The sequence below is a fragment of the Homo sapiens genome, chromosome 3, assembly GCF_000001405.40.
Source record: "Homo sapiens chromosome 3, GRCh38.p14 Primary Assembly".
NCBI classification, from domain to species: domain Eukaryota; kingdom Metazoa; phylum Chordata; class Mammalia; order Primates; family Hominidae; genus Homo; species Homo sapiens.
This window is the reverse complement of record NC_000003.12, coordinates 60943051-60969085: the sequence shown is the minus strand read 5'-3', so window position 1 is coordinate 60969085 and position 26035 is coordinate 60943051. Positions and strand designations below refer to the sequence as shown.

At 38.8% G+C, this 26035-nt stretch overlaps 1 protein-coding gene across 8 annotated transcripts in view, besides 1 other annotated feature; it reads left to right on the top strand.

The window, feature by feature from the left end:
* FHIT (fragile histidine triad diadenosine triphosphatase) overlaps positions 1 to 26035 on the top strand; it is a 1504176-nt gene that overhangs the window by 282367 nt on the left and 1195774 nt on the right. The window lies entirely within an intron of this gene.
* Positions 14631 to 15830: an enhancer, noted in NCBI's record as "MED14-independent group 3 enhancer chr3:60938928-60940127 (GRCh37/hg19 assembly coordinates)". NCBI's record gives its function as "activates an origin of replication core promoter dependent on BRD2, BRD4, P300/CBP and CDK7 cofactors, and independent of MED14, by STARR-seq in HCT116 cells {active_cell/tissue: HCT116}" and the evidence as "EXISTENCE:reporter gene assay evidence [ECO:0000049][PMID:35650434]".

Here is a 26035-nt window from a genome sequence, read left to right as displayed (position 1 = left end):
ATCATTAGACCAGCATAACCTTGACCCCAAAGATGAGGGGTATTAAATGAAAATAAATCCACAGTTCAATTTTTTTCATGAAGATAAATGAAAAAAAAATCCTAGCCAAAACATTGGTAAATCAAATCCAGTGATATATAAAAAGAATAATATATCATTATCAAGTTGGGTTTGTTCCAGGAATACAAGCTGATTATTTGAAAATCAGTCAATGCAACTTACCATATTAATAGAGTAAAACTGAGAAACCATATCATCATCTCAATAGATAAGGGGAAAAAATTGACAAACACATTCATTCATGGTAAAATCTCAGCAAAATGGGAATAGAGCTGAGCTTCCTTAATCAGATAAATATTTATTTTAAAAAACTACAGCAGGGGCCGGGCAGGGCGGCCTGTATTCCCAGCACTTTGGGAGGCCAAGGCGGGTGGATCATGAGGTCAGGAGTTCGAGACCAGCCTGGCCACTATGGTGAAATCCTGTCTCTAATAAAAATACAAAAACTAGCTGGGTGTGGTGGCAGGTGCCTGTAGTCCCAGCTACACGGGAGGCTGAAGCAGGAGAATTGTTTGAACCCCAGGAGCTTGCAGTGAGCCAAGATCATGCCACTGCACTCCAGCCTGAGTGACAGAGTGAGACTCCATCTCGAAAAAAAAAAAAAAAGTCCTACAGCAGACTTCATACTTAATTTGAAATATTAACAATTTTCTTGTTGAGATCATAAATGTGTTTATTATTTCCATTTTTATTCATCATTATATTAGAGACCCTAGTCAGTTTAATATAATCTTGTGATGGGCAAGAATCTGTGTTTTTAACAAGCCACAAGGTGACGTTTATGCATTCTAGTGTGGATAACCTCATTACTACATGGGCTAAGATGTGATTTGCTTCTTAGTTTGAAGTGACCACAGCCTAAAAGTTGGAAAGGTGTGAGGAGAAACACATTTCTGCTCTCAACTCGGGCTGCCATTCTGGCAACACCTTGGATCAGACTGGACATGGATCTTGCCACTTTCCTTTAAAAATTGTTTTTGTTTACCAATACGATGTTCACCAGATTTCTTACTAATTTTTTTTTAGTTGATCAGAAGCAAGTAATTCCACATGCATATTGGCACAATTTACTTTTATTTACCTACAGTTGAATTTTAAATTGTAGTGGCGAATTAGCATATTTAATTTTTTTAATAGATGGTATTTGAATATGGCTGAGCCCTCTTACAATATCAGTAGTCAATTTGTAGATTATATACCGTGGGCCAGTCTGATCATGGTCCTAGAAAAATAATTATAAATAGTGAAAGTCTAGTGTAATGCATTTAGTTTCCATGATGAATGTTGCCTCTCACTAACCTGGCATTATTAAACAGTGAAACTATTTTATTGATCTTGTTTTTCATATCTGCTCTTTTTTCGATTTTTCTTAGAAACTGATACCTGCTCCTAAAACTTAAACATTGCATAAGCATAAAATGAATAGCAGAAATCCCCTATACTTGCACTCCAAAACCATATTTCAGCAGTAACCATTGACACTTTTGTCCCATCCTTTTTACCTATGTATTTATATATACTTTTCTATATTATTTTCAAAGAGTCATCAACTTGGTATCTAGTCTTTCAAAATCCAAGTGTAAATATTGAAACCATGGTTAATCCTTCCTGTCAAATTTGACAGATAGGCAGTCAATACACCAAAGTCTTAGGTATTTGCAATGCTTGTTATTTCACATTGTTTTGTTTGTTTAAGGGATCAAGCAATGATTTTGGGAAAGAATGATTACCACCAATGTGGTATAACAGAACTGTTTCTTTTGTTCCCAGAGCAACGTTCATACATATTCCCACAAATACATTTATGTTCTCATCCAGTGAATCACTGCCAGGAACAGGGAGCACATATACTACTGCTGATGAAAAATGGCTGAGGAGGTGAATAAAGCAATTTACAATATATCAAGCTAAGAGTAATGGTAATGTATTTTTATAAGAAGATACTATTTATATTTAACATCAAATATAGATTTAAATTTTTGATTTCTCTATTCCATGAGGCATAAACATCCCCATACTGACCATTGTGGAATATGATTAAGAACCATGACAGTTTTTGAAAGAGAAGTATTACGTCTACTGAGATAATTCTCTCTAACTATAAAAGCATCAGCTGATTTGGAGTACAATTTATAGACCAAATCAAATACTGCACCTTAGGACTTTATGTGTAAAATGTACCACAGTTCTCTTACCCAATTAATTACCAACCTAAATATCTCTCAGATTTGTCACATTTTACCATATCTTCTGTTCCAATTGCAGTTTAAATTATCATCCTTGCTACAATAGCCTCTTAATTGATACCCTTGCAGCCATTATTGTCTCCTTCCAATCCATTTTCCACACTGTAGCTTGACAGAGATTTTTAAAATGATAATTGAATCTTGCCACTGTCCTGGTGGAAACCATTCATTTCCACCATTTAAAAGCCTCCCTTATAGTCATCATGGGAGGAGGTTCCAAGATGGCTGAATAGGAACAGCGCCATTCTACAGCTCCCAGCGTGAGGAGTGCAGAAGATGGGTGATTTCTGCATTTCCAATTGAGGTACCCGGTTCATCTCACTGGGGCTTGTCGGACAGTGGGTGCAGCCCACGGAGCATGAGCCAAAGCAGGGCGGGACATCGCCTCACCTGGGAAGTGCAAGGGGTTGGGGAATTCCCTTTCCTAGTCAAGAGAAGCCGTGAGAGACGGTACCTGGAAAATCGGGACACTCCCACACTAATACTGTGCTTTTCCAACTGTCTTAGCAAAGGGCACACCAGGAGATAATATCTGGTGCCTGGCTCGGAGGGTTCCATGCCCACGGGGCTTCACTCTCTGCTAGCACAGCAGTCTGAGTTCGAACCACAAGGTGGCAGTGAGGCTGGGGGAGGGGTGTCCGCAATTGCTGAGGCTTGAGTGGGTAAACAAAGCGGCCTAGAAGCTCGAAATGGGTGGAGCCCACCGCAGCTCAAGGAGGCCTGCCTGCCTCTGTAGACTCCACCTCTAGGGTCAGGGCATAGCTGAAAAAAAGGCAGCAGAAACTTCTGCAGACTTAAACGTCCCTATCTGACAGCTTTGAAGAGAGTAGTGGTTCTCCCAGCACGGAGTTTGAGATCTGAGAACGGACAGAATGCCTCCTCAAGTGGGTCCCTGAGACCCAAGTAGCCTAACTGGGAGATACCTCCCAGTAGGGGCCGACTGACACCTCACACAGCCAGGTACCCCTCTGAGACAAAGCTTTCAGAGGAAGGATCAGGCAGCAACATTTGCCATTCTGCAATATTTGCTGTTCTGCAGCCTCCGCTGGTGATACACAGGCAAACAGGGTCTGGAGTGGACCTCCAGCAAACTCCAACAGACCTGCAGCTCAGGGTCCTGACTGTTAGAAGGAAAACTAACAAACAGAAAGGACATCCACACCAAAACCCCATGTGTACGTCACCATCATCAAAGACCAAAGATAGATAAAACCACAAAGATGGGGAGAAACCAGAGCAGAAAAGCTGAAAATTCTAAAAATCAGAGTGCCTCTTCTCCTACAAAGGAACCTAGCTCCTCGCCAGCAAGGGAACAAAGCTGGATGGAGAATGACTTTGACAAGTTGAGTGAAGAAGGCTTCAGAAGATCAGAATAACAAACTTCTCCAAGCTAAAGGAGGATGTTCGAACCCATCGCAAAGAAGCTAAAAACCTTGAAAAAAGATTAGACGAATCGCTAACTAGAATAATCAGTGTAGAGAAGAACTTAAATGACCTGATGGAGCTGAAAACCATGGCATGAGAACTACGTGATGCATGCACAAGCTTCAGTAGCCAATTCGATCAAGTGGAAGAAAGAATATCAGTGATTGAAGAACAAATGAATGAAATGAAGCCGGAAGAGACGTTTAGAGAAAAAAGAGTAAAAAGAAATGAACAAAGCCTCCAGGAAATATGGGACTATGTGAAAAGACCAAATCTACGTCTGCTTGGTGTACCTGAAAGTGATGAGGAGAATGGAACCAAGTTGGAAAACACTCTGCAGGATATTATCCAGGAGAACTTCCCAAACCTAGCAAGGCAGGCCAACATTCAAATTCAGGAAATACAGAGACAACCACAAAGATACTCCTCAAGAAGAGCAACTCCAAGACACATAATTGTCAGATTCACCAAAGTTGAAATGAAGGAAAAAATGTTAAGAGCAGCCAGAGAGAAAGGTCAGGTTACCCACAAAGGGAAGCCCATCAGACTAACAACAGATCTCTTGGCAGAAACTCTACAAGCCAGAAGAGAATGGGGGCCAATTCAACATTCTTAAAGACAAGAATTTTCAACCCAGAATTTCATATCCAGCCAAACTAAGCTTCAGAAGTGAAGGAGAAATAAAATCCTTTACAGACAAGCAAATGCTGAGAGACTTTGTCACCACCAGGCCTGCCTTACAAGAGCTCCTGAAGGAAGCATTAAACATGGAAAGGAACAACCAGTAACAGCCACTGCAAAAACATGCCAAATTGTAAACACCATTGATGCTAGGAAGAAACTGCACCAACTAATGGGCGAAATAACCAGCTAACATCAAAATGACAGGATCAAATTCACACATAATAATATTAACCTTAAATGTAAATGGACTAAATGCTCCAATTAAAAGACACAGACTGGCAAATTGGATAAAGAGTCAAGACCCATCAGTGTGCTGTATTCAGGAGACCCATCTCACCTGCAGAGACACACATAGGCTCAAACTAAAGGGATGGAGGAAGATCTACCAAGCAAATGGAAAAAAAAAAACAAGCAGGGGTTGCAATCCTAGTCTCTAACAAAACAGACTTTAAACCAACAAAGATGAAAAGAGACAAAGAAGGCCATTACATAATGGTAAAGGGATCAATTCAACAAGAAGAGCTAACTATCCTAAATATATATGCACCCAATACAGGAGCACCCAGATTCATAAAGCAAGCCCTTAGAGACCTACAAAGAGACTTAGACTCCCACACGATAATAATGGGAGACTTTAACACTCCACTGGCAACATTAGACAGATCAATGAGACAGAAAGTTAACAATGATATCCAGGAATTGAACTCAGCTCTGCAGCAGGTGGACCTAATAGACATCTACAGAACTCTCCACCCCAAATCAACAGAAGATACATTCTTCTCAGCACCACATCGCACTTATTCCAAAACTGACCACATAGTCGGAAGTAAAGCACTCCTTTGCAAATGTAAAAGAATAGAAATTATAATAAACTGTCTCTCAGACCACAGTGCAATCAAACAAGAACTGAGGATTAAGAAACTCATTCAAAAACCGCTCAAATGCATGGAAACTGAACAACCTGCTCCTGAATGACTACTGGGCACATAACCAAATGAAGGCAGAAAAAAAGATGTTCTTTGAAACCAATAAGAACAAAGACACAACATACCAGAATCTCTGGGACATATTTAAAGCAGTGTGTAGAGGGAAATTTATAGCACTAAATGCCCACAGGAGAAAGCAGGAAAGATCTAAAATTGACACCCTAACATCACAATTAAAAGAACTAGACAAGCAAGAGCAAACACATTCAAAGGCTAGCAGAAGGCAAGAAGTAACTAAGATCAGAGCAGAACTGAAGGAGATAGAGACACAAAAAACCCTTCAAAAAATCAGTGAATCCAGGAGCTGGTTTTTTGAAAAGATCAACAAAATTGATAGACCACTAGCAAGACTAATAAAGAAGAAAAGAGAGAAGAATCAAATAGATGCAATAAAAAATGATAAAGGGGATATCACCACTGATCCCACAGAAATATAAACTACCACCAGAGAATACTATAAACACCTCTATGCAAATAAACTAGAAAATCTAGAAGAAATGGATAAATTCCCGGACACATACACTCTCCCAAGACTAAACCAGGACGAAGTTGAATCCCTTAATAGACCAATAACAGGCTCTGAAATTGAGGCAATAATTAATAGCCTAGCAACCAAAAAAAGTCCAGGACCAGATGGATTCACAGCCGAATTCTACCGGAGGTACAAAGAGGAGCGGGTACCATTCCTTCTGAAACCATTCCAATCAAGAGAAAAAGAGGAAATCCTCCCTAACTCATTTTATGCGGCCAGCATTGTCCTGATATCAAAGCCTGGCAGTGAGACAACCAAATAAGAGAATTTTAGACCAATATCCCTGATGAACATCGATGCAAAAATCCTCAATAAAATACTGGCAAAACAAATCCAGCAGGACATCAAAAAGCTTATCCACCACGATCAAGTTGGCTTCATCCCTGGGATGCAAGGCTGGTTCACATACGCAAATCAATAAACATAATCCATCATATAAACAGAACCAAAGACAAAAACCACATGATTATCTCAGTAGATGCAGAAAAGGCCTTTGACAAAATTCAACAATGCTTCATGCTAAAAACTCCCAATAAACTAGGTAGTGATGGGACGTGTCTGAAAATAATGCAAGCTATCTATGACAAACCCACAGCCAATATCATACTGAATTGGCAAAACTGGAAGCATTCACTTTGAAAACTGGCACAAGACAGAGATGCCCTCTTTCACCACTCCTATTCAACATAGTGTTGGAAATTCTGGCCAGGGCAATCAGGCAAGAGAAAGAAATAAAGTGTATTGAATTAGGAAAAGAGGAAGTCAAATTGTCCCTGTTTGCAGATGACATGACTGTACATTTAGAAATCCCCATCATCTCAGCCCAAAATCTCCTTAAGCTGATAAGCAACTTCAGCAAAGTCTCAGGATACAAAATCAGTGTGCAAAAAATCACAAGCATTCTTATACACCAATAACAGACAAACAGAGAGCCAAATCATGAGTGAACTCCCATTCACAATTGCTTCAAAGAGAATAAAATACCTAGGAATCCAATTTACAAGAGATGGGAAGGACCTCTTCAAGGAGAACTACAAACCACTGCTCAATGAAATAAAAGAGGATACAAACAAATGGAAGAACATTCCACGCTCATGGGTAGGAAGAATCAATATCGTGAAAATGGCCATACTGCCCAAGGCAATTTATAGATTCAACGCCATCCCCATCAAGCTACCAATGACTTCCTTCACAGAATTGGAAAAAACTACCTTAAAGTTCACATGGAAGCAAAAAAGAGCCCACATTGCCAAGTCAATCCTAAGCCAAAAGAACAAAGCTAGAGGCATCACGCTACTTGACTTCAAACTATACTACAAGGCTACAGTAACCAAAACAGCATGGTACTGGTACAAAAACAGAGAGATAGGCCAATGGAACAGAACAGAGCCCTCAGAAATAATACCACACATCGACAACAATCTGATCTTTGACAAACCTGACAAACACAAGAAATGGGGAAAGGATTTCCTATTTAATAAGTGGTGCTGGGAAAACTGGCTAGCCATATGTAGAAAGCTGAAACTGGATCCCTTCCTTACACGCTATACAAAAATTAATTCAAGGTGGATTAAAGACTTAAATGTTAGACCTAAAACCATAAAACCCTAGAAGAAAACCTAGGCAATACCATTCAGGATATAGGCATGGGTAAGGGCTTTATGACTAAAACACCAAAAGCAATGGCAACAAAAGCCAAAATTGACAAATGGGATCTAATTAAACTAAAGAGTTTCTGCACAGCAAAAGAAACTACCATCAGAGTGAACAGGCAACCTACAGAATGGGATAAAGTTTTTACAATGTACGCATCTGACAAAGGGCTAATATCCAGAATCTACAAAGAACTTAAATTTACAAGAAAAAAACAAACAACCCCATCAAAAAGTGAACGAAGGATATGAACAGACACTTCTCAAAAGAAGACATTTATGGAGCCAATAGACACAGGAAAACATGCTCATCATCACTGGCCGTCAGAGAAATGCAAATCAAAACCACAATGAGATACCATCTCACACCATTTAGAATGGCAATCATTAAAAAATCAGGAAACAACAGGTGCTGGAGAGGATGTGGAGTAATAGGAAAACTTTTACACTGTTGGTGGGACTGTAAACTAGTTCAACCATTGTGGAAGACAGTGTGGCGATTCTTCAAGGATCTAGAACTAGAAATACCTTTTGACCCAGCCATCCCATTACTGGGTGTTTACCAAAAGGATTATAAATCATGCTGCTATAAAGACACATGCACACGTGTGTTTATTGTGGCACTATTTACAATAGCAAAGACTTGGAACCAACCCAAATGTCCAACAATGATAGACTGGATTAAGAAAATGTGGCACATATACAACATGGAATACTATGCAGCCATAAAAATGGATGAGTTCATGTCCTTTGTAGGGACATGGATGAAGCTGGAAACCATTCTGAGCAAACTATTGCAAGGACAGAAAACCAAACACTGCATGTTCTCACTCATAGGTGGGAATTGAACAATGAGAACACATAGACACAGGATGGAGAACATCACACACCGGGGCCACACACCGGGGCCTGTTGTGGGGTGGGGGGAGGAGGGACGGATAGCATTAGGAAATATACCTAATGTAAATGATGAGTTAATGGGTGCAGCACACTAACATGGCACATGTATACATATGTAACAAACCTGCACGTTGTGCACATGTACCCTAGAACTTAAAGTGTAATAAAAATAAAATTGAAAAAATAATAGTCATCATGACTGGTGTAAGATGTTTCTCATTGTAGTTTTAATTTTCCCAATGTGATTTAGAGTCCAACCAAGAGCAACAGTGAAGTGCTCTTTAGACGTCAGATTATGATTTCTTTCTTCACCACACAACAAAAAAGAAAGAGAAAGAAAGTCATCTCTCAGTCGACTCTTGGCTCTTAGTTCCTGCTGACGTTGGAGACCCTCATGGGATATTCCAAGTGTTAGATAGGGTGGGAAGAAGGGAAGAGGGAAAGCTTGAAACACAACTCTCTTTATTTTTCTTCTTATTCAAGTAGTATCTTTTTACCTTTGGAATTCGGAAAGCAGTGATGAGGGTAAAAAAAAAACTGCCCCAAAACTTATCATTCAGAGATAATCACCTTATATTTTAGTGTAGTTTAATCTTTGTTTTTTAAAAACATTACAAAGTATATATTTTTTGCTTTGTCTATAGGGATTCTTGTTGTTGTTGTAATTGCAAAAGCAACGCATGTTCACTGTTGAAAGGGTTGGAAATAATCAATAAGAAAAAGAAATGAGAATGAAAATTGCCCTCAGGCTCACCAAATAAACACCAAACAGTGTTGACATTAAAAAAAAAAAAAAAAAGAAAAAGCCTCTCCTGATTCTCCCATCTTGCTCACCTGGTTTTTGCACGCAAACTACACTGCCCTTTTTCCTCCTCAAAATCTCTTTCTTTCTGCCTCCCACAGAGCATTTGCACATTCTTGTTCCCTCAGCCCCATGGAAGTTTGTTTTCTTCATCTCCAGTGGCTTCATTTTCTCTCTTCAGATTTCAACTCAAATGTTTTCTCCTCTCCAAACTAGGCGAACCCCTTATGGGCACCTGTCACTGCTCTGCATTACTATTTCCTCACTGCCTTTCTCCCCAACAAGATAGTGAGCTCTGGGTGTTCAGAAACCACATATAATATGTTTTTGTCCAGTTGCCAGCTCAGCTTGGCATATGCTGTTTGTTGAACATACAAAAGAATGTATGTAAATTTGTTAATAGAATGGAGATAAGATGATTGCAGCTGATGATGCTATGATCTGTGACTAATTATGGGAAATAACTTCAAAGGGACATCAAGGGCAGAAGTTCTGTTGAAATATAAATGAAAGGGCTGATTTTTCAGACAAGGTAATTGAGGCTCATAAGAGTTAAGAAATTAGCACATGAAATCACAGCCGCTGACAGAGCCAGAATTTCAACCTAGGTCTGCCTGATAGCACCACTATGCCCAAGAGCAGTTACATTTATAAAGCCTTTAAATAATCATAAATGCTGCATACTCTATCCTTTGGAAAATTCATGAGGACCATTATGAATATTAAAGACAGACAATTCCTGAAGTAAGGAAACCTGCTTAAGTTAATGTTAATATCCTTTTCATTTGGCAAATTCCCTGAATGGAATTCACCTTGGCAAGTGTGGCTGTCATTTCTTCATTTATTCCTTTGTCCTTAGTTTGCTTTTTCTGTCCTTACTACATTGATTATAATTCCATTGCTAAATAATTCCGATTATAATTCCATTGCTAAATAATTCTTTCCAAAGAAGACATTTGCCAAATACTTCCACCTAGCTGGAAGGAGAAGACAAAACTCCCCTCTGTTCAAGATAAAACATTGTCTTTTAAAGTTAATCTGTCATAACTTAGGGTCAAGTGTCCAAAGACATGGACCTTGTTTAACCTTTCTGTCTCAGCTATACTTACTGCCATGAAATTATGCTCTGTCCCTCCCATATCATTTAGGCTACCAAATTGCACTTGATGAAGGGCCACCAAAGACCTGGAATGGCAGTCAAAATTGGAACATTGCAACTATTTTTCATGGGTAAAGAGAAACATTTGGTCAAACTTGAGTCCAGTTACCAATGATAAAACATACCAGTGTAACCTTTAATAATTGCTAAAGAACAAGACTTAAGTATAAATAATACTACATCTATTTTATTTTTAGCTTATTTCATTTAAAAATTAATTCTTGCTAAACAGTTCTCAGTGCTAGGGAAATTTGCCAAGGCTCATTTCTTTAAAATGGAACATAAGTCTTGCTGGACATGTATATACTGTACTTCTCCAGATTTCTCATAAGTTTAAATATATGGGTTTTATGTCTAGGTAGAGAATTTTACCGTGCCTTATTCTATACCAGGTATATTTATATCTATATCAATACAGGTATATTGAGAAAATCTATGCGTATCTACAAACTGACAGGAGGTGCTGTGAAGGATTTTTAGCTTAAATATAAGCACAGATTCTTGAAAGCCCCACAACAATGTGATATTGAGTCTGTAGTAATTCAGAGTGATATGTGTAGTTCTTTTCTGAGTAAAAGATTTTAAGTGTTTTGTTGAAAATTTTTAAGTGCGTACAAAAGAATAAGGAGGAATCTAGTCTAAATTCAGCATTTTTAAAATTAGCTGCTAAAAATTAAAAAATAAAATTTTTGACATGTCTGACTACAGAATGTATTTATTTAACAAACAGGTGTTAAGAACAGAGAAGGAGGATTAGACAGTATCTGTGCTTTCCAGAAGCTCACCTATGTGGAAGAGATAAATAGACAGTTGTGCATATACAATATCAGTTGTGCTGTGGTTAGGCACCACAGCAAGGGAAACAGGTGCTTTGTAAAGGGACATTTGCCTTATACAAGATCAGGGACTCAGGCTGGGCTTCCGAGAGGAAGTGACACTTACTTAAGCTATGACTTCTGTGTCTCCCAGTTTTGTATGGTGAAGAAATTGACACAGGAGGGCCTGTGTTACCTTCAGTTAACTGAAAAAAGAATATGCAGTTGTTTTGTAACAAATGGTCCTTTTGTGGCAGGATGTTTTGGCTGTGGACAGAAAAGAAGATGGGCCCGGCGCCATGGCTCACGCCTGTAATCCCAGCACTTTGGGAGGCCAAGGCGGGTGGATCACAAGGTCAGGAGATCAAGACCATCGTGGCTAACACGGTGAAACCCCATCTCTACTAAAACTACAATAAATTAGCCAGGTGTGGTGGCACGTGCCTGTAATCCCAGCTACTCAGGAGGCTGAGGCAGGAGAATCGCTTGAACCCGGGAGGCGGAGGTTGCAGTGAGCTGAGATCGCGCCACTGCACTCCAGCCTGAGCAACAAAGTGAGATTCTGTCTCAAAAAAAAAAAAAAAAAAAAAAGAAAGAAAGAAAAGAAGAAGATGGTGCTGTGTTTTTCTGGCTCTAGTTTGCTTTTGTGTGATTTCTTTGTTTTTTAATGCTTTTTACTATGAACCCATACAAAGCTACATGATGATTATCTCTGCCCGGCTTAGTATCTGATTTTGAACAAGATATTTTTAGAAGTTTAGCTGATGTGTGTATTTCATGGGGAGGGTGTGTAAAGTAGTGCATAATCCAGGCTTTGTTGCAGTACTGCCTGACCATGAGCCCTTCTGTGAGACCTGCTCTTCTACCCAAAGGGCTGGTATCTAAGTCAGGTTTGCCCAGTGTGACCCCCCGAAACTGAAATATTCACAATTCATTTTTTGTAGGACGCTGACAGTAGAAGCCTGTGGCCTAACGTATACAGATGTATTTTAAAAATCAAGAAATTTCAATGAAAATCTGGATTTCTATTATTACATATCCAAAGTGGAGAGGCAGCATGAGTTCTCTTTGTTGTAAGACCCTTTTCTTCCAGCTTCTGGTTTTACACCTGGTCAGCATCATACTTTTAATTACCTGCCTGGCCCCTGTAGTTGTTGGAATTGGTAACTCCTTATGTACAGCTGTGTCTGATTAAACCCGGTGTAGACAGATTTTGACCTTGGTTGGGTTAATTAGATTCTTTTTCCCCTCTGGGCATTTTGAAATTGTCTTCAGGGCACTACTTGGTTTAAACTTAAATCACAAGAGATACAAATATTTGGTCATGTCGATGCCAAAGCAGAAAAAGCACAGCTAAAGGTAGGGACAATAAAGTAAAGGTTCCAGAAAGAAGTAGAGACACAAGAACCTGCAGCCCAAGAGAGAGAGAATGTTTCAACCTCGGATCTGAAAGGCTGCCTACACCCTGGCTCTGGTTCTTCATAAGGCCTGGCTGTACTTGCTATCCTATGTGCTGTAGGATACCTCTAATTCCTCATCCAGAATCCTTTTACTTGAACACTTCAGGTTGGGTTTTGTTTTTTATAACTAAATGGATCTTAACTAAGAGGCTTACATATGGGTTTTGTGATGTTTTTGTTTCAGTAGGGAAATGTAACTTTAGGTTTACAACAATTTTTCATTAATACTCTATTTGGATTAGAACAAAATCTTGTAATCATTAAATAGGGTACATGAGTTGACTGTTAGAAACCTTTGGACTATTCTAGTTGCATGAGGACAAAATCTTGACCTCTGAGTTTCAGTCTTCCAAAAGTAGTTGTATCTATTCTTGAATTGCCATATTGAGATTCAACTGTGAAAAATTGACTCAGAATCAGCTAAAAAGTTTCCTTCCTTCTTAACCTTGATGTTTTGAGAAAAGTAGTATATAACATGTTGTATTTATAAAATAATATGCTTGGAGTATAATAAACTAAACACCCATGAACCACCATCTACCTTAAGAACTGTAACATTACCATCTACTGAAGTGTTTTTGTACCTAACTCATCTCCTGCCTATTGTTTCCAACAGTAACCATTATACTGAATGAATGGATGTACTGGATGAAGTATCCATTCATGTTTTCCTTGCTTTTCTTTTATCATTTTGAAATAAATTTGTCACATGTATATATGTGTGTGTGTGTATATATATATATATATATATATATATATATATATATGTATATATATGCCTAAGCAGATACATTTTAGTTTTTAAGTATTATAAAATGGTTTTATAATGGTTTAATCTCTGGAAAGAATTATTGTATGTCAGTGCTTCCTAACTTCTTCCATCATGGCATACATAGAACTTGAAAATATTCTAGAACCTCCTGATATAAATGCTCTGGCTTGACACAAGACTTTGGCTACTCCAGGTACTATTCACCCCAGAACTAAGGGGATTGGGAACACTTGTAACCCACTTACTGAGGCACACTACTTGGAAAGCACTGCTGTATGTAGTCTTCTCCATGTGCTATTTCCACTTGGATTTCTGTTTCTAAGATTTATTCCTGTGGTTGCATGTGGCCGTAGTTCCTTCCTTTTCACTGCTATATAATATTCCTATGTGAACATATAAGCATTTTCATCTTCTCCTGTTTAGCTTTCCTGCTTGCTTTTCATTTACATTAAGGGTCATTCTAGCCTACCATGAAGTATGGAAAACTACTAGATTTGACTTAACGTTTTCTTAGGATTCAGAGATGTGACTTTAAATTTTGAATTTAAAAACCTGTTTAGTTTTAGATTGAATCTTGGAGTATATGGTAACAATAAATAGAATTAATTTGATCAGTAAATAAGATACAACTTTCTCTGTTTATGTTATTAGGACAAGTCTGTTTGGTTGATGGTGTTTGCCTGGAGTACTATTGGAAAAGTATTTTGAGCCAAGTGAGGGCTCTGTGGTTAAGAATTCAGTAATCAGTTATGGATGTCTGCCTTGGGTATTCCTAATGGGAGTAAAGACATGCTTGCTTCATATTTGCCTTCCCTAATCTATCTGCCTCCCCTTCTATGATCATCTTGAAACTATCTTGATTATCTGGGTATTATCCAATTTGCAGCTAACCTCTTTTGGAAAATGAAATCCATGGTTAGATTCTGATAATTTGTTATTGTCTCTAACTACCTTCACCACAGTTGATGCTCTTCTCACATGTATCTAAAACATTCCATGCCTTCTGTACAGCATATTTTACTATCATTATTGAGCTCCAAACTGGAAAGTAAATAAAATGTCCTTTGGTATCCTCAGTTTCAGGGTTTGAACTCAGCTTTATGTACATAGATCTTGTCCCCTGTAATTTAAAATAACTAGAGTAGCAAAGCTTCTCTAAACTCTCCAGAGCCTATTAAACATTATTTTTAAGATAACATCTTTCCTTGTTCGTCATTTATGAATGTTTGGTCAGGAAATGGTCGTAAAAAGCTTCAAATCCCAATTGAATAATGTGTTCTTAAAAGTAGCTGCCAAGTGTAAATACCACTGATATACATTCATGCATATGATAGTATATAAATAACTGGGGAAAGCATAGCAAAGGTCAATCAATTATGTATAGGTCAGAATGCTTTCCATCTGGATTGAGTCATTTTAGCAAATGACATCATGTGTCCTTTGGAGTCTATTTTGAAATGTGGCTTGAGTCATTATAGATTGGCTTCTTCTCTGGGTTACCAGGATGGCAGTGGTGAGACTTAATAAATAAATGTACTGGACTCTGCAGGAGCAGATTTACATAATTAGGGTGCAGTGATGAAGGCTTCTCATTCTGCAGAAACCCTTTGGGCTCCATTAATTTCTAGTTGTTTATCCTTCGTGGTTGATTTTTGTTTTTAAAGGAACTGAAAACAAAAGAGTTTAAACTGAGCCAAATGCTCTTCATAGAACTATAATGGACATCTTTCCGTGACATTGAAAGACCAGCAGGGAATCAATAGTAATGAATCTGGCACCCTTCTCGTCTTCGTCTCTTCTAACTTCATCATTGCTCTTCTGGATGGGGCTACTTGGACACTTTAAGTTTGGTTTGTAATTTATATTTTGATCTGATGAGGAGTGGTCACACCAGATTGCCAGAGAGACCCTAGAGTCATTGGCGGGTTGGGATGTTGTATGAGATGGGAAGGGATGTTGGCATTTTTCAATTGGCACAACAGGAGCTAAATTTAGCTGATAGACCACGTGATAAAAGGAGCTGCCAAGTCCAGTCATTTCCGATTAGTCAGGGCTTGAGGAGGTAAATGTTACTTGACAGAATTTAATGTGTGATTTTTCCCTCCCTTCAGGATATTTTGGAAATGTTAAAAAGTTGACTTTTTTTTTTAAGTAGGATAGTTTGGAATGAAGGATTTCGGTCCAAATAGCTGTCATATTTTATAGACTTTTATAGTTGGAATCCAGTTCGAGCCTTGGAAGGAGGAAGGCTTGGACATTCTTAGCAAAGATGAAAGGAAATCGTCCTTGCGTTTAGGGAGCATATAGTTTAGTGGAAAGACAGACATGCAAACAGATTACGACAGTATAAAATGACAGTCACTCAAATAAGATATGTGTGAATCCAGACAACATTTATATTTTTGGCACTTATATTATCCTTTACTTGTTTGTTTGGGTTACGAATAACTATGGCTAAAAAACATGCCCCCACTTGTTCTTATTCTTAAGGCATATTGAGAGTGAACTTTCAGCTTTCAAGATGGATACTGTAGAGGAGGCAAAATTGTACACTCTTTTAGGGTTTTCTTTTCAGCTGGGCCTAAGACTTAAATGAATATAAGATAGATTAATGGGAGAAAAGCACACACATTTATTTAATATAAGTTTTATGTGACATGAGATACCTCATAAGGAAATGAAGACTCAAAGAAGTGGCAAAACCTAGATGGTTTTATATTAGGTTGAACAAAGAGAGGCAGTTGTGGAAAAGTAACTCAACTGTGTGGAAAGGCTAAAGGAAGATAAGAATTATTTTAACAAGATCTGTTTGTACAGACTTTTCCTAGTCTCATTTTCCCATCCTTGATGATAAGAATGAGACTTTCCTTCTGGTATAGCTGGACGTCTTCTATATGGGGGTTTTGTTTCATGTTTTCAGGAAGAAAAAGGGGAGGGTTAGAGAACACTTCTTGCACCTGCTGGGTTTTGTTTTGTATTTTAATGTGCCTTTAGCTCCACATAATCCTTAGGCTAAAGTGGCATATTTCGGGCTGGCATATTCTCCCACTCTTCACTACCCTATGTTTTGGCCATTCAGAGGCAATGTGGCTGCCCTTCTCCTGGAATAGTACTGAGATTCTGCATATGATCCAAAGCCCTAACTCCATTTCAATGAAACTCCATGGATTCCTAGGGACTATTCTTTGATTGTGACTACACAGACACCAGAACAAACGGTTAAAAGATGAATAAATAGGCCAAGTTGTCACTGACTTGTCAAGTTGCCTGTGGTATCCAACAGCTGATTGCACTGCTATGTTTTCTTTCCCCACTATAGTGGTTGGCCGAGATTACAATCTGTGGTCAGTGGATTGATCGACTGATTCGGTGTGGTATAGATAGATAAAAAGTGGAATCTCTTTTTTTTTTTTGGGGGGGGGGTGGGGAGGACGGAGTTTTGCTCTTGTCTCCCAGGCTGGAGTGCAATGGCATGATCTCAGCTCACCAACCTCTGCCTCCCAGGTTTAAGCAATTCTCCTGCCTCAGCCTCCCGAGTAGCTGGGATTACAGGTGCCCGCCACCATGCCCAGCTAATTTTTGTATTTTTAGTAGAGATGGGGTTTCACCATGTTAACCAGGCTGGTCTTGAACTCCTGACCTCAGGTGATCCACTCGCCTTGGCCTCCCAAAGTGCTGGGACTCCAGGCATCAGCCACTGCACCCAGCCAAAAAGTGGAATCCTTTCTGCCCCACTCAAAGAGACCTTTCCCTTTATTTAGGGAAAACAATCCTGCTATAACTATAAATACTAGTTAATGAAGAACAAGGTCTGTCTCTGATGTTTTTTGACCCCCATCTAGATCATTCTCCTTAAATACTCTCACCAGAGTTTTTCTTACATCTTTTAGCCAGATATTAATGCTTAACCCATTTCCCGTTTGCTCCGAGAGCGTTGTGCTGGTAGCAAGCTGCACTTCTTTCTTCTAAATGGTAAGTGGGTTAAGCATATGATAGGGTGATGAAGGTCGTTAGGTGTCAAGAGACCTGCATTCCAGTCCTGGCTTCACCATTAACCAGCTGAGCAATGTTAGGCAGTGTGTTTTACCCTGCTAGGTTTTTCCTCTTCGTTTGCTTGTTACGGTTCCTTTTGGTCATGGGCTGCCTTATTGTTTGGATACTTGGTGCCTTAAGTAGCACCTGACACCATAGTAGATCTTAAGTGTTCCATGACTCGAAAAACAGTAATACTAATAGCTGTAAACAGTTTCTGTTGAAGGGAATGAAAATATTAATAATGTTAAGCAGCTCTAAGAATTTTATTATTGGCATGTCTTCTTTGCCTGTGCTTTTGTTCCTTGGATGATTTGAGACTCCAACTCACAGCCTCTAGATTTCTCTTGAAGAATACAAAAGACCCTTTTTCTTGTATCCAGTATTTTTTTCTTATGATAAAACAGTACATACTATGGTAGAAAATATAAAAGCCACAGATAAGCAAAAAACAAAAACAGAATCTCCTGTGTATCAGGAATGTGTTCAGCTGCAAAATAAAGAAAATCCAACCAATAGTGACTTTCTCCAAGTCTTTAGAGGATAATCTAGAGCTGATGTTTTGGCATTTCTCTTCTACTGTTCTTAGCGTGTTATTTTTTTGTCTTCATGGTCACAATGAAGCTGCTGTTCCTCCAGACGTTATGTTTAGATTGGAAAGATAAAGGATAAATACAAAAAGAGACCTGTTAGATAAATCCGCTCCTTTTAATCAGACAAGAAGAAAAGCCCTACCTAGGCCGGGCATGGTGGCTCACGCCTGTAATCTCAGCACTTTGGAAGGCCGAGGCGGGTGGATCACTTGAGGTCAGGAGTTCGAGACCAGCCTGGCCAACATGGTGAAACCCCATCTGTACTAAAAATAAAAAAAAAAAAATTAGCCAGGTGTGGTGGTGCGTGCCTGTAATCCCAGCTACTTGGGAGACTGAGGCAGGAGAATCACTTGAACCCAGGAGGCGGAGGTTGCAATGAGCCAAGATCGTGCCACTGCAGTCCAGCCTGGGCGACAGAGTCAGACTCCATCTCCACTCCAGCCTGGGTGACAAAGCAAGACTCCGTCTCAAAAAAAAAAAAAGAAAAAAAAGCCCTACCTAGCAGCCTTCTTCTTTAATATTTTATTTTATAGAACAATTCCCAAGTGCAAGGAATGCTGGAGAGAAGAGGTTATGAATGGAAGATGGCTGACCAATGAATGTTTGTCAAACCAATGGTATACAAAGATAACAGCTCTCAATAAATATGATATTACAGTATCTACTGTTTTGCAATGTGTTTCCCCCCTTAATAGTACCACAAATCTTTTTTTGTTATTAAATATTCCACCACTTAATTTTCAATGTCTGCATAGTGTAGTCATGCCTCACTTAATGAAAACTGTGTCATTAGACAATTTCATACTCTTGTGAGCATCACTTTACTGAATACTATAGGCAACTGTAACACAAAGGTAAGTAGTTGCATATCTAAACATAGAAAAGGTAATGCATGCACAATGACTTTATGACAACTACAACGTCACTAAGCAGTAGGAATTTTTTAGCTCCATTATAATCTTATGGGATCGATATCATATATGTGGTCTGTCATTGATCAAAACTTCATTATGTGATGCATGACTGTATTCCACTTTATGGCTATACCATAATTAATTTGAACAGTCTTCTTTTGCTTGGAAATTTAAGATTTCCAAGTTTTACTATTATAAATGATGCAGTGATGAACATCCCTGTAGATAGCTTTTTTTCCAAACTCTTTTGACCTTTTCTTTCATTTTAATTCTGCTTTTTTTAAAAAAGAAATCTGCAAATAACAACGACGTAAATAAATAAGCAGATATTTAGGTACCCACTTTAACCAGAGACCGGGAAGAGGAATTTTTAATAACTGATAACTTACATTATATCTGCAAGATGCAAAATATCTTATTGATTGGGCAAAGCCGGAGAAACAATTAGTAAATTCAGCGACAGGATAGGGAGGAGGGAAGTGACCCGCTTTCTGATTAAATCAATTTAATCAGTTTAGTTAAAATAGATTAATGTCTTTTTCAGGTCTGGTTAAGGGGATCTAGAAGTTTGCAGATATGTTCATTTTCAGAATCCCTCATGCCTAAAAATATACTTTCCCTTGGCGTTGTGTTTCTTTTTGTACAAAGGTTGTCAAATGGGAGTGGGAAGGTGGTACATCTCATAGCTCATCTGTCAGAAAGTATTGCAGGCATAGCAAGGTTGAAAGGCTGGCATCCACGCTAGCTAAAAGCAGAGATTGCAAAGAAGTTTGGCCTCCAGGAGAGTAAAAGGGGAAATGCTGTCACATGCTCCCCTCCTGCCACCATTGGTGTGGTATTTGGTAGGGGGATTACTGACCCCTTCCTTCGCTTGAGAATAGTGGGTCAGCAAGGCAAGAATAGGGCAGAGAGTTCCGGAACTTGCTAAGAACATTACCTCTTGTAATAGGGCTTTAAGTGTCAACGCTTTTTCTACTGTATGCTAGGAGTACTAATTGAGAAGCTGGCCCCTACGCTTCAACTATATACAACTATAAGTTTTTTTTTTTAATGTTGCAAAGTAAGGTTAATTTTTATGGGGAATATTTTATGCCCTGCTTTCTGTTATGTGCCAGACAAATTGAGGGCGATGGAAAACTGATGGGTGATGAAGACAAAAGAGCGGTGTTGACCTTTTGGTAAATCATTCATCATACTGCTTCATCTGTAAGTGGTTTTCAGGTTGCAGCTCATATTTGCTAATCACTACACTTGACTCTCATTTCTGCAGGGGCTGATTGTTTTGTTGTGGATTGCCTTTTCTCTTTTAAAAAAATTTTGGTTATTGTTATAGCTGTTTCATTACTAATACTTCCTCCACCAGAGGGGGCTTGTGAATAGAGTTGGGAATTAATAATTCAGTTTCTGCTGCTCTTCATTCTCCTTAGTAGCTGAGATGGACTTTAAGCAATCCATTCACCTACTCTGTTTTGAGTCTTCTTGTCCCCAGTGGAATTCAATTACAAGATGGCTGTCTTTGACAGTGGCCACAGTCTGGAATAGTTAACTAGTGTTAATGGTCTAGCACCAGGATATTTTTAGTTTTCATGTTGATCAAAGTCCCATTAGGGAAAACTAAAGGGGAAAGCAAGAATAACTTCTTAGTTCAACCCTGGGTCACATACTAGAAATTATGAAATTCATTATAGTAGAAGCATAAATCTGTAGGGACCCAAAATGGATCCAAGGCTGGCATCTGGCAGAATCCACCTTACCAACATTGTAGTTACCTATGGGCTGTTAGGTCCTTTGGGCCTTCTGCCTGACTTGCCAGTGCTTAGAGTTCAGAAGCAAGGTTAATATATAAGACCCCCTTAGGGATGAATGGGCCTGTAAGACCTGCAGGCTAGGAAGGACACCTAGCACCTGGTCTAAGTGAGGACAATTAAGGAAAAGATTTTGCCTCAAGGATGCAGAGAAATTGACTGGAGAATCCACTAGGGAATCTGAGCAATTATAGTGTTGTGCTGAGTAACCCTACAGAGGCTTTATCTTAATTATATATTTTAGGGTTTATTAAACTAGGAACTCTGTCCCCTCTATGGGCTAAAGAGTATTTTGATATTTTGATTGAAATAAAATGGGAACTAGAGACACTAAGAAACAGAAACTAACCAGAAATGCTTTACTTTTCCTTTATTTCCAATCAAATGCAATGTCAAGAAATATCTAGATGTTATCTGGACTTCGCCTATCCCCTGCCTGAAGTTGGAATTCTTCTGTTGAGTAAATAGTCCTTGGGTCCCAGACTGGCATTGTTCACTAGGTTGGTGGGTGCAGATGGACAGTTGTTGCTTGTAACTTTGCAGCCAAACTTCTGAAGACATGATCACAAGACCATTCTGGATGTCTGTGTGTGTGGTTGGGTGGGCATGTGGGTACAGGTTATGACCTTTTCAAAAATAATTTTGTTAAGCCGCAAATTGTAGACTTGTGAATGCAACCAATTAGAATACTTTTACTTCATTTGGGATACCAAAGAACAAATTTCTTTATATTTTTAATAGAAATGCAAACAGCAAGAAATATGATTTCCAAATGACAACAAAATCTTTTAACAGGGAATTTTCAAATGTTACATTTTCCTTTGTTAGATATAGATAGCCAGTCTTTGGAGGGAAGGGACACTTAGATCTTAGAAAACACGCGATAGTCATAGTCTATTAATACCAGATGCTTCTTAGGAGAAGAAATAATTCTTACATGATGGTGATATTTTAAATATTTGAGGGTTTTTTTTAAGGGTCTTCCACAACAATATGGTATAGAATTTAGTCTGAGAGGAGGCTGAAATAAATTAAAATGAATTTTTGGAATCCTGCTTATTGGAAATGCTGATGCTATTGTGCTATTAGATGCTCCTCACCTCTTCCTGCTACAAATGTACAAACTTCCCTAGACTCATACCTGCCCTTGCCCTTTTCCTCAAGACTCAGAGATTAAGAAGAATTTTGTCTTCTGAATGCTTCCTTCACCTTTTACTGTTCTGCCCCATCCAATTTGTTAGCCAGTAGCCACATCTGACTGTTTACATTTAAATTCGTTCAAATCAAAGTAAAAAATTCACATCCTCAGACACACTGGCCTCGTTTCAAGGGCTAAGAAGTACATGTGCCTATTGTCTATCTTATAGGATGGCGTAGATATCAACATTGCCATCATCACAGAAAGTTCTTTTGGATAGCTGCTTGATACTCTTGGCAAACTCTTAAGGAGGCTTCCCCATCACCCTCTCCAGGGGTGTCTGTTTTTTTCTCAGTGTCTGACAGTGGAGTTGGTGTCTTCTGGTATTGTTCATTGTCACTTCTAGACAGTTCCTTTTCTCTTCCTCCGCAGAGGCTTTTAAAGCACATGCCATAAAACTCTTCTACAGCCTACTCCTCTGTATTTATTGAAGACGTTCCCCCCAGCGCCCTGTCTTTATACTCATCATTCTCAGTAAAAACATCCACAGAGAATACTCATACCTGGTCTATCAGGTCCCTGAGTTTCTCACTTGCAAATATCTCTCCCTACCTCATAGTCATACCCCAGGCCAATGGTTCACAATCTAGGAAGTACCACTCTCCTAGGGAGTAATTGCAAATGTAAGGAGTGCTACTGGTATTTAGAGGGCAGAAGTTAAGGATGCTAAATGTCATTCAGTACATGAGACTGTTATGCACGATGAAGAATTGTTTTCCCCAAATGCCAATAGTGCCCTTGTTATGAAATGCCATGCTAACCTTCAAAGTATGTTTCACAGCATCCCACTCTCTGACCACCACTTCCTATCTTTTCAGGGCTGCTGCCTCAGGTGACATTAGCATCTCTACTCCAACAGTTCTTTGATCCTGTGGGGCCTCCAATCTGTTGACTTACAGGATTTATGTACAATCCGTCATCCTCCTGTATCCTCACTTTCCTCCTTGCTCAGCTCAGATGCTATGGTTCTTCTCTTCTTTACATGCACACTGAACTCCTTTGCTCATCTTTCTCTGTCATTCTTATCTGGCAAAACTATGACCCTCATTCAGCTTTCCACCTACTTTGGGCCTGAGTGTGGATGGATGGAGGACACACAACTATGCTGACTGCAGTGGATCCTCTGTTCTACACGGTGATCCTGCATTGTTTACCTAATACTTCTACTTTCTGAGAAAACTATTTTATATCTTCACCTGTACCTCAACTCTCCAATGGCCATCCCCAGCTCTCTCAATCAGTTGATTGTCTCACTTCTTATTTCACTGGAGAAAGAGAAACAATCAGAAGAAACTACCTTATTTTCTCTAGCAAATCTACAAGCCTACCTGTATCCATCCCCACAGTCCCCATCTCCCTTTCTGGTATTCTGCATGAACTGTATAAACCCTGTAATAGGGAGGCTGAGGCGGGTGGATCACTTGATGTCAGGAGTTTGAGACCAGCTTGGCCAACATGGCAAAACCCTGCCTCTACTAAATATACAAAAAATAAGCGGGGCATGGTGATGGATGCCTGTAATCCCAGCTACTCAGGTGGCTGAGGCTGGAGAATCACTCGAACCCAGGAGGCAGAGGTTGCAGTGAGCCAAGATTGTACCACTGCACTCCAGTGTGGGTGACAGAGCGAGACTCTATCAAAGCAAAACAAAAAACCTGTAGTAACTCCCCATCATCCTTAGAATTAAATTCAGGCTTTTTGCTATGACCTCAAGGCTCTTCAAGATTCAGCCCTCTTCTTTTTACCTAGTCTCATACCACTCTCCTTTCTCCCTGCAGTCTGTTGACATTGGTTTTCTTGCTGTTCTTCTCAACATCTTTGTATTTGCTCTTGCTTTTGTTTGGAAATCTTCTCCCCGAGATATTTGTATGCCTTTGCCTCCTGTTGCACTTAGGTGTCTGCTCAAATGTCATCTTCTCAGAGAATCCTCCCTTGATCATCTTGCCTACTGTAGCTTTCCTCCTCCCTCATCATCCTCCATCTCTTTGCCCTGCTTCGTTTTCCTTCACAAGACTTACGACTCCCTGATGTTGTATTATAAATTCATGTTCATCTTTTTATTGTCAGAATATAACTTCCGTGACACTGGAGAGTTGACTATCTTATGACTTCTGTATCCTTAGTGCCTAGAACAGTGTTTAACACTCACTGTTTATTGATGAAGTATTTAACATATATTTGATAAATTAATGTTTCATCAATAAAGTGTGCTGACTACTATGGCAAAGACTCTTAATTTGGCATGCCTCTACTACTCAGAGCCACATGATGACTCAATTTTCTCACCACTTTTCTCTATTTGAAAAATTGGGAAACTTCCTTTTGCACTGTCCCATAATATCATTTGGCTTTCATTTGATATAAACGCATCATTTACATGTTAATTCTGCCTTTGTTCTTTTCTCATTAGCCCATAACAATTAAAATAGACCATTACTCTGCCACACTATGAGTTTTTATGATGTCATATCAAAGTCTCCATTAATTAAATAACTTAATAAATTAAAGTCTTATTCCATGACACTATCTTTCCATTGCAAATTATCTTCAAGAAGAGCACAATAGCAGACATGGGACAATTTTAGCATTAGGACATGCCAACCTAGCAGCCAGATGTGCTCACTGACACACTGAAAGTTAAAAGCTGTCATTTAAAGTGATTGTTTGGTTCCAGTGATACTGAGAACAGAACAGAGTTGATGGAGGAAAAAAAAAAGACAAACTCAGGCACTGCTTTTGGAAAGCATAGCTCAATTATCAGGTTGTCATTTAGATTCTTCAGGACATTAATTGGAATAAAACCATAAAAACCTAAAGCATATTCTCATAGAATGTTTGGAGCTATGATACTGTGCCTTTGGGTTCAGTTTGAGAAACACTGAGCTGTAGGGTAAAGTTCAAATTTCTTAACTTATACTATGCGACCCTCATTTAACTGGAGGAAACATTGGATTGTTAGGTGGTAGGATGAAGGCAGGGAGAGAAAAGATACTAATTCAATTGTCAAGGTAACAGGTGAGAGACTGGGATAGGGAAGAAGAAAGGTAGAAGAGACAGAATGAGAGCTGTTCCCGATAGAAATTTTTAAAAATGAGGAGGTTGAAGAGGAAAGTACAGCAACATTGGAGGTAGATGACAAGTGGATTCACTTATTTTCATGTTATAGGTAAAGAAATAAGAGTAGTAGTGGATTAGCCATCTTAGTTGGGGATTTTCTGTGTTATATATATAAGTACTTATGAGCTTGAAGCTTTAAGAGAATATTATTTGCCAATGTGTCTAAATTATTTATTGAGAACAGCTAAATTATGAGTGTAAGATAGATACAGCAATGCTTGCTATGGTATGCAGTACTTGGTTCAGTGAGAGGCCATAATTACTGACTTTTAGGAAGCTGTAGATTAATTAGTTGAAATGAGGCCAAATAATCAGTAATCAAAGCCAATATACAAATGATTAAACCTATCTGTCTGCAGGCAAAGATTCTTAAGTTGGATAGAGAGAACAGCTATACTCTCTTTAACTGTTTACAAGGAACAACCCAATTAAGGATAATAGCATGGGAAGATTAAGAGAAAATAGATGAAATTGACATAATACATCATATAAATATCATTCAAATGAAAGCTGGTGACACTATTAATATCGGACAAAATATACTTTAAAAGCAAAAATATTATTACAGATAAAGAGTTATTATTTAATGATAAAAGAACAATTCACCAGGAAGAGTTAATCCTGAGCCTACATTACCTAGTAGCATCCTTTTAAAAATATAGAAAGTAAAAATTGACACAGTCACCAAGAAGTATTGAAAACCCATATAATCATAATCTGAGAGTTTTAACCATTTTTCTCTCAGACACTGATAAATCAAACAAGCTAAGAAGCTTAGAAAAGATAAAGAATATTTAAACCACATAACCGGTTAGCTTGGACAAATAGACATATATAGAACTTCAAACTCCACTAACAGATAATATACACACATAGAAAGTCT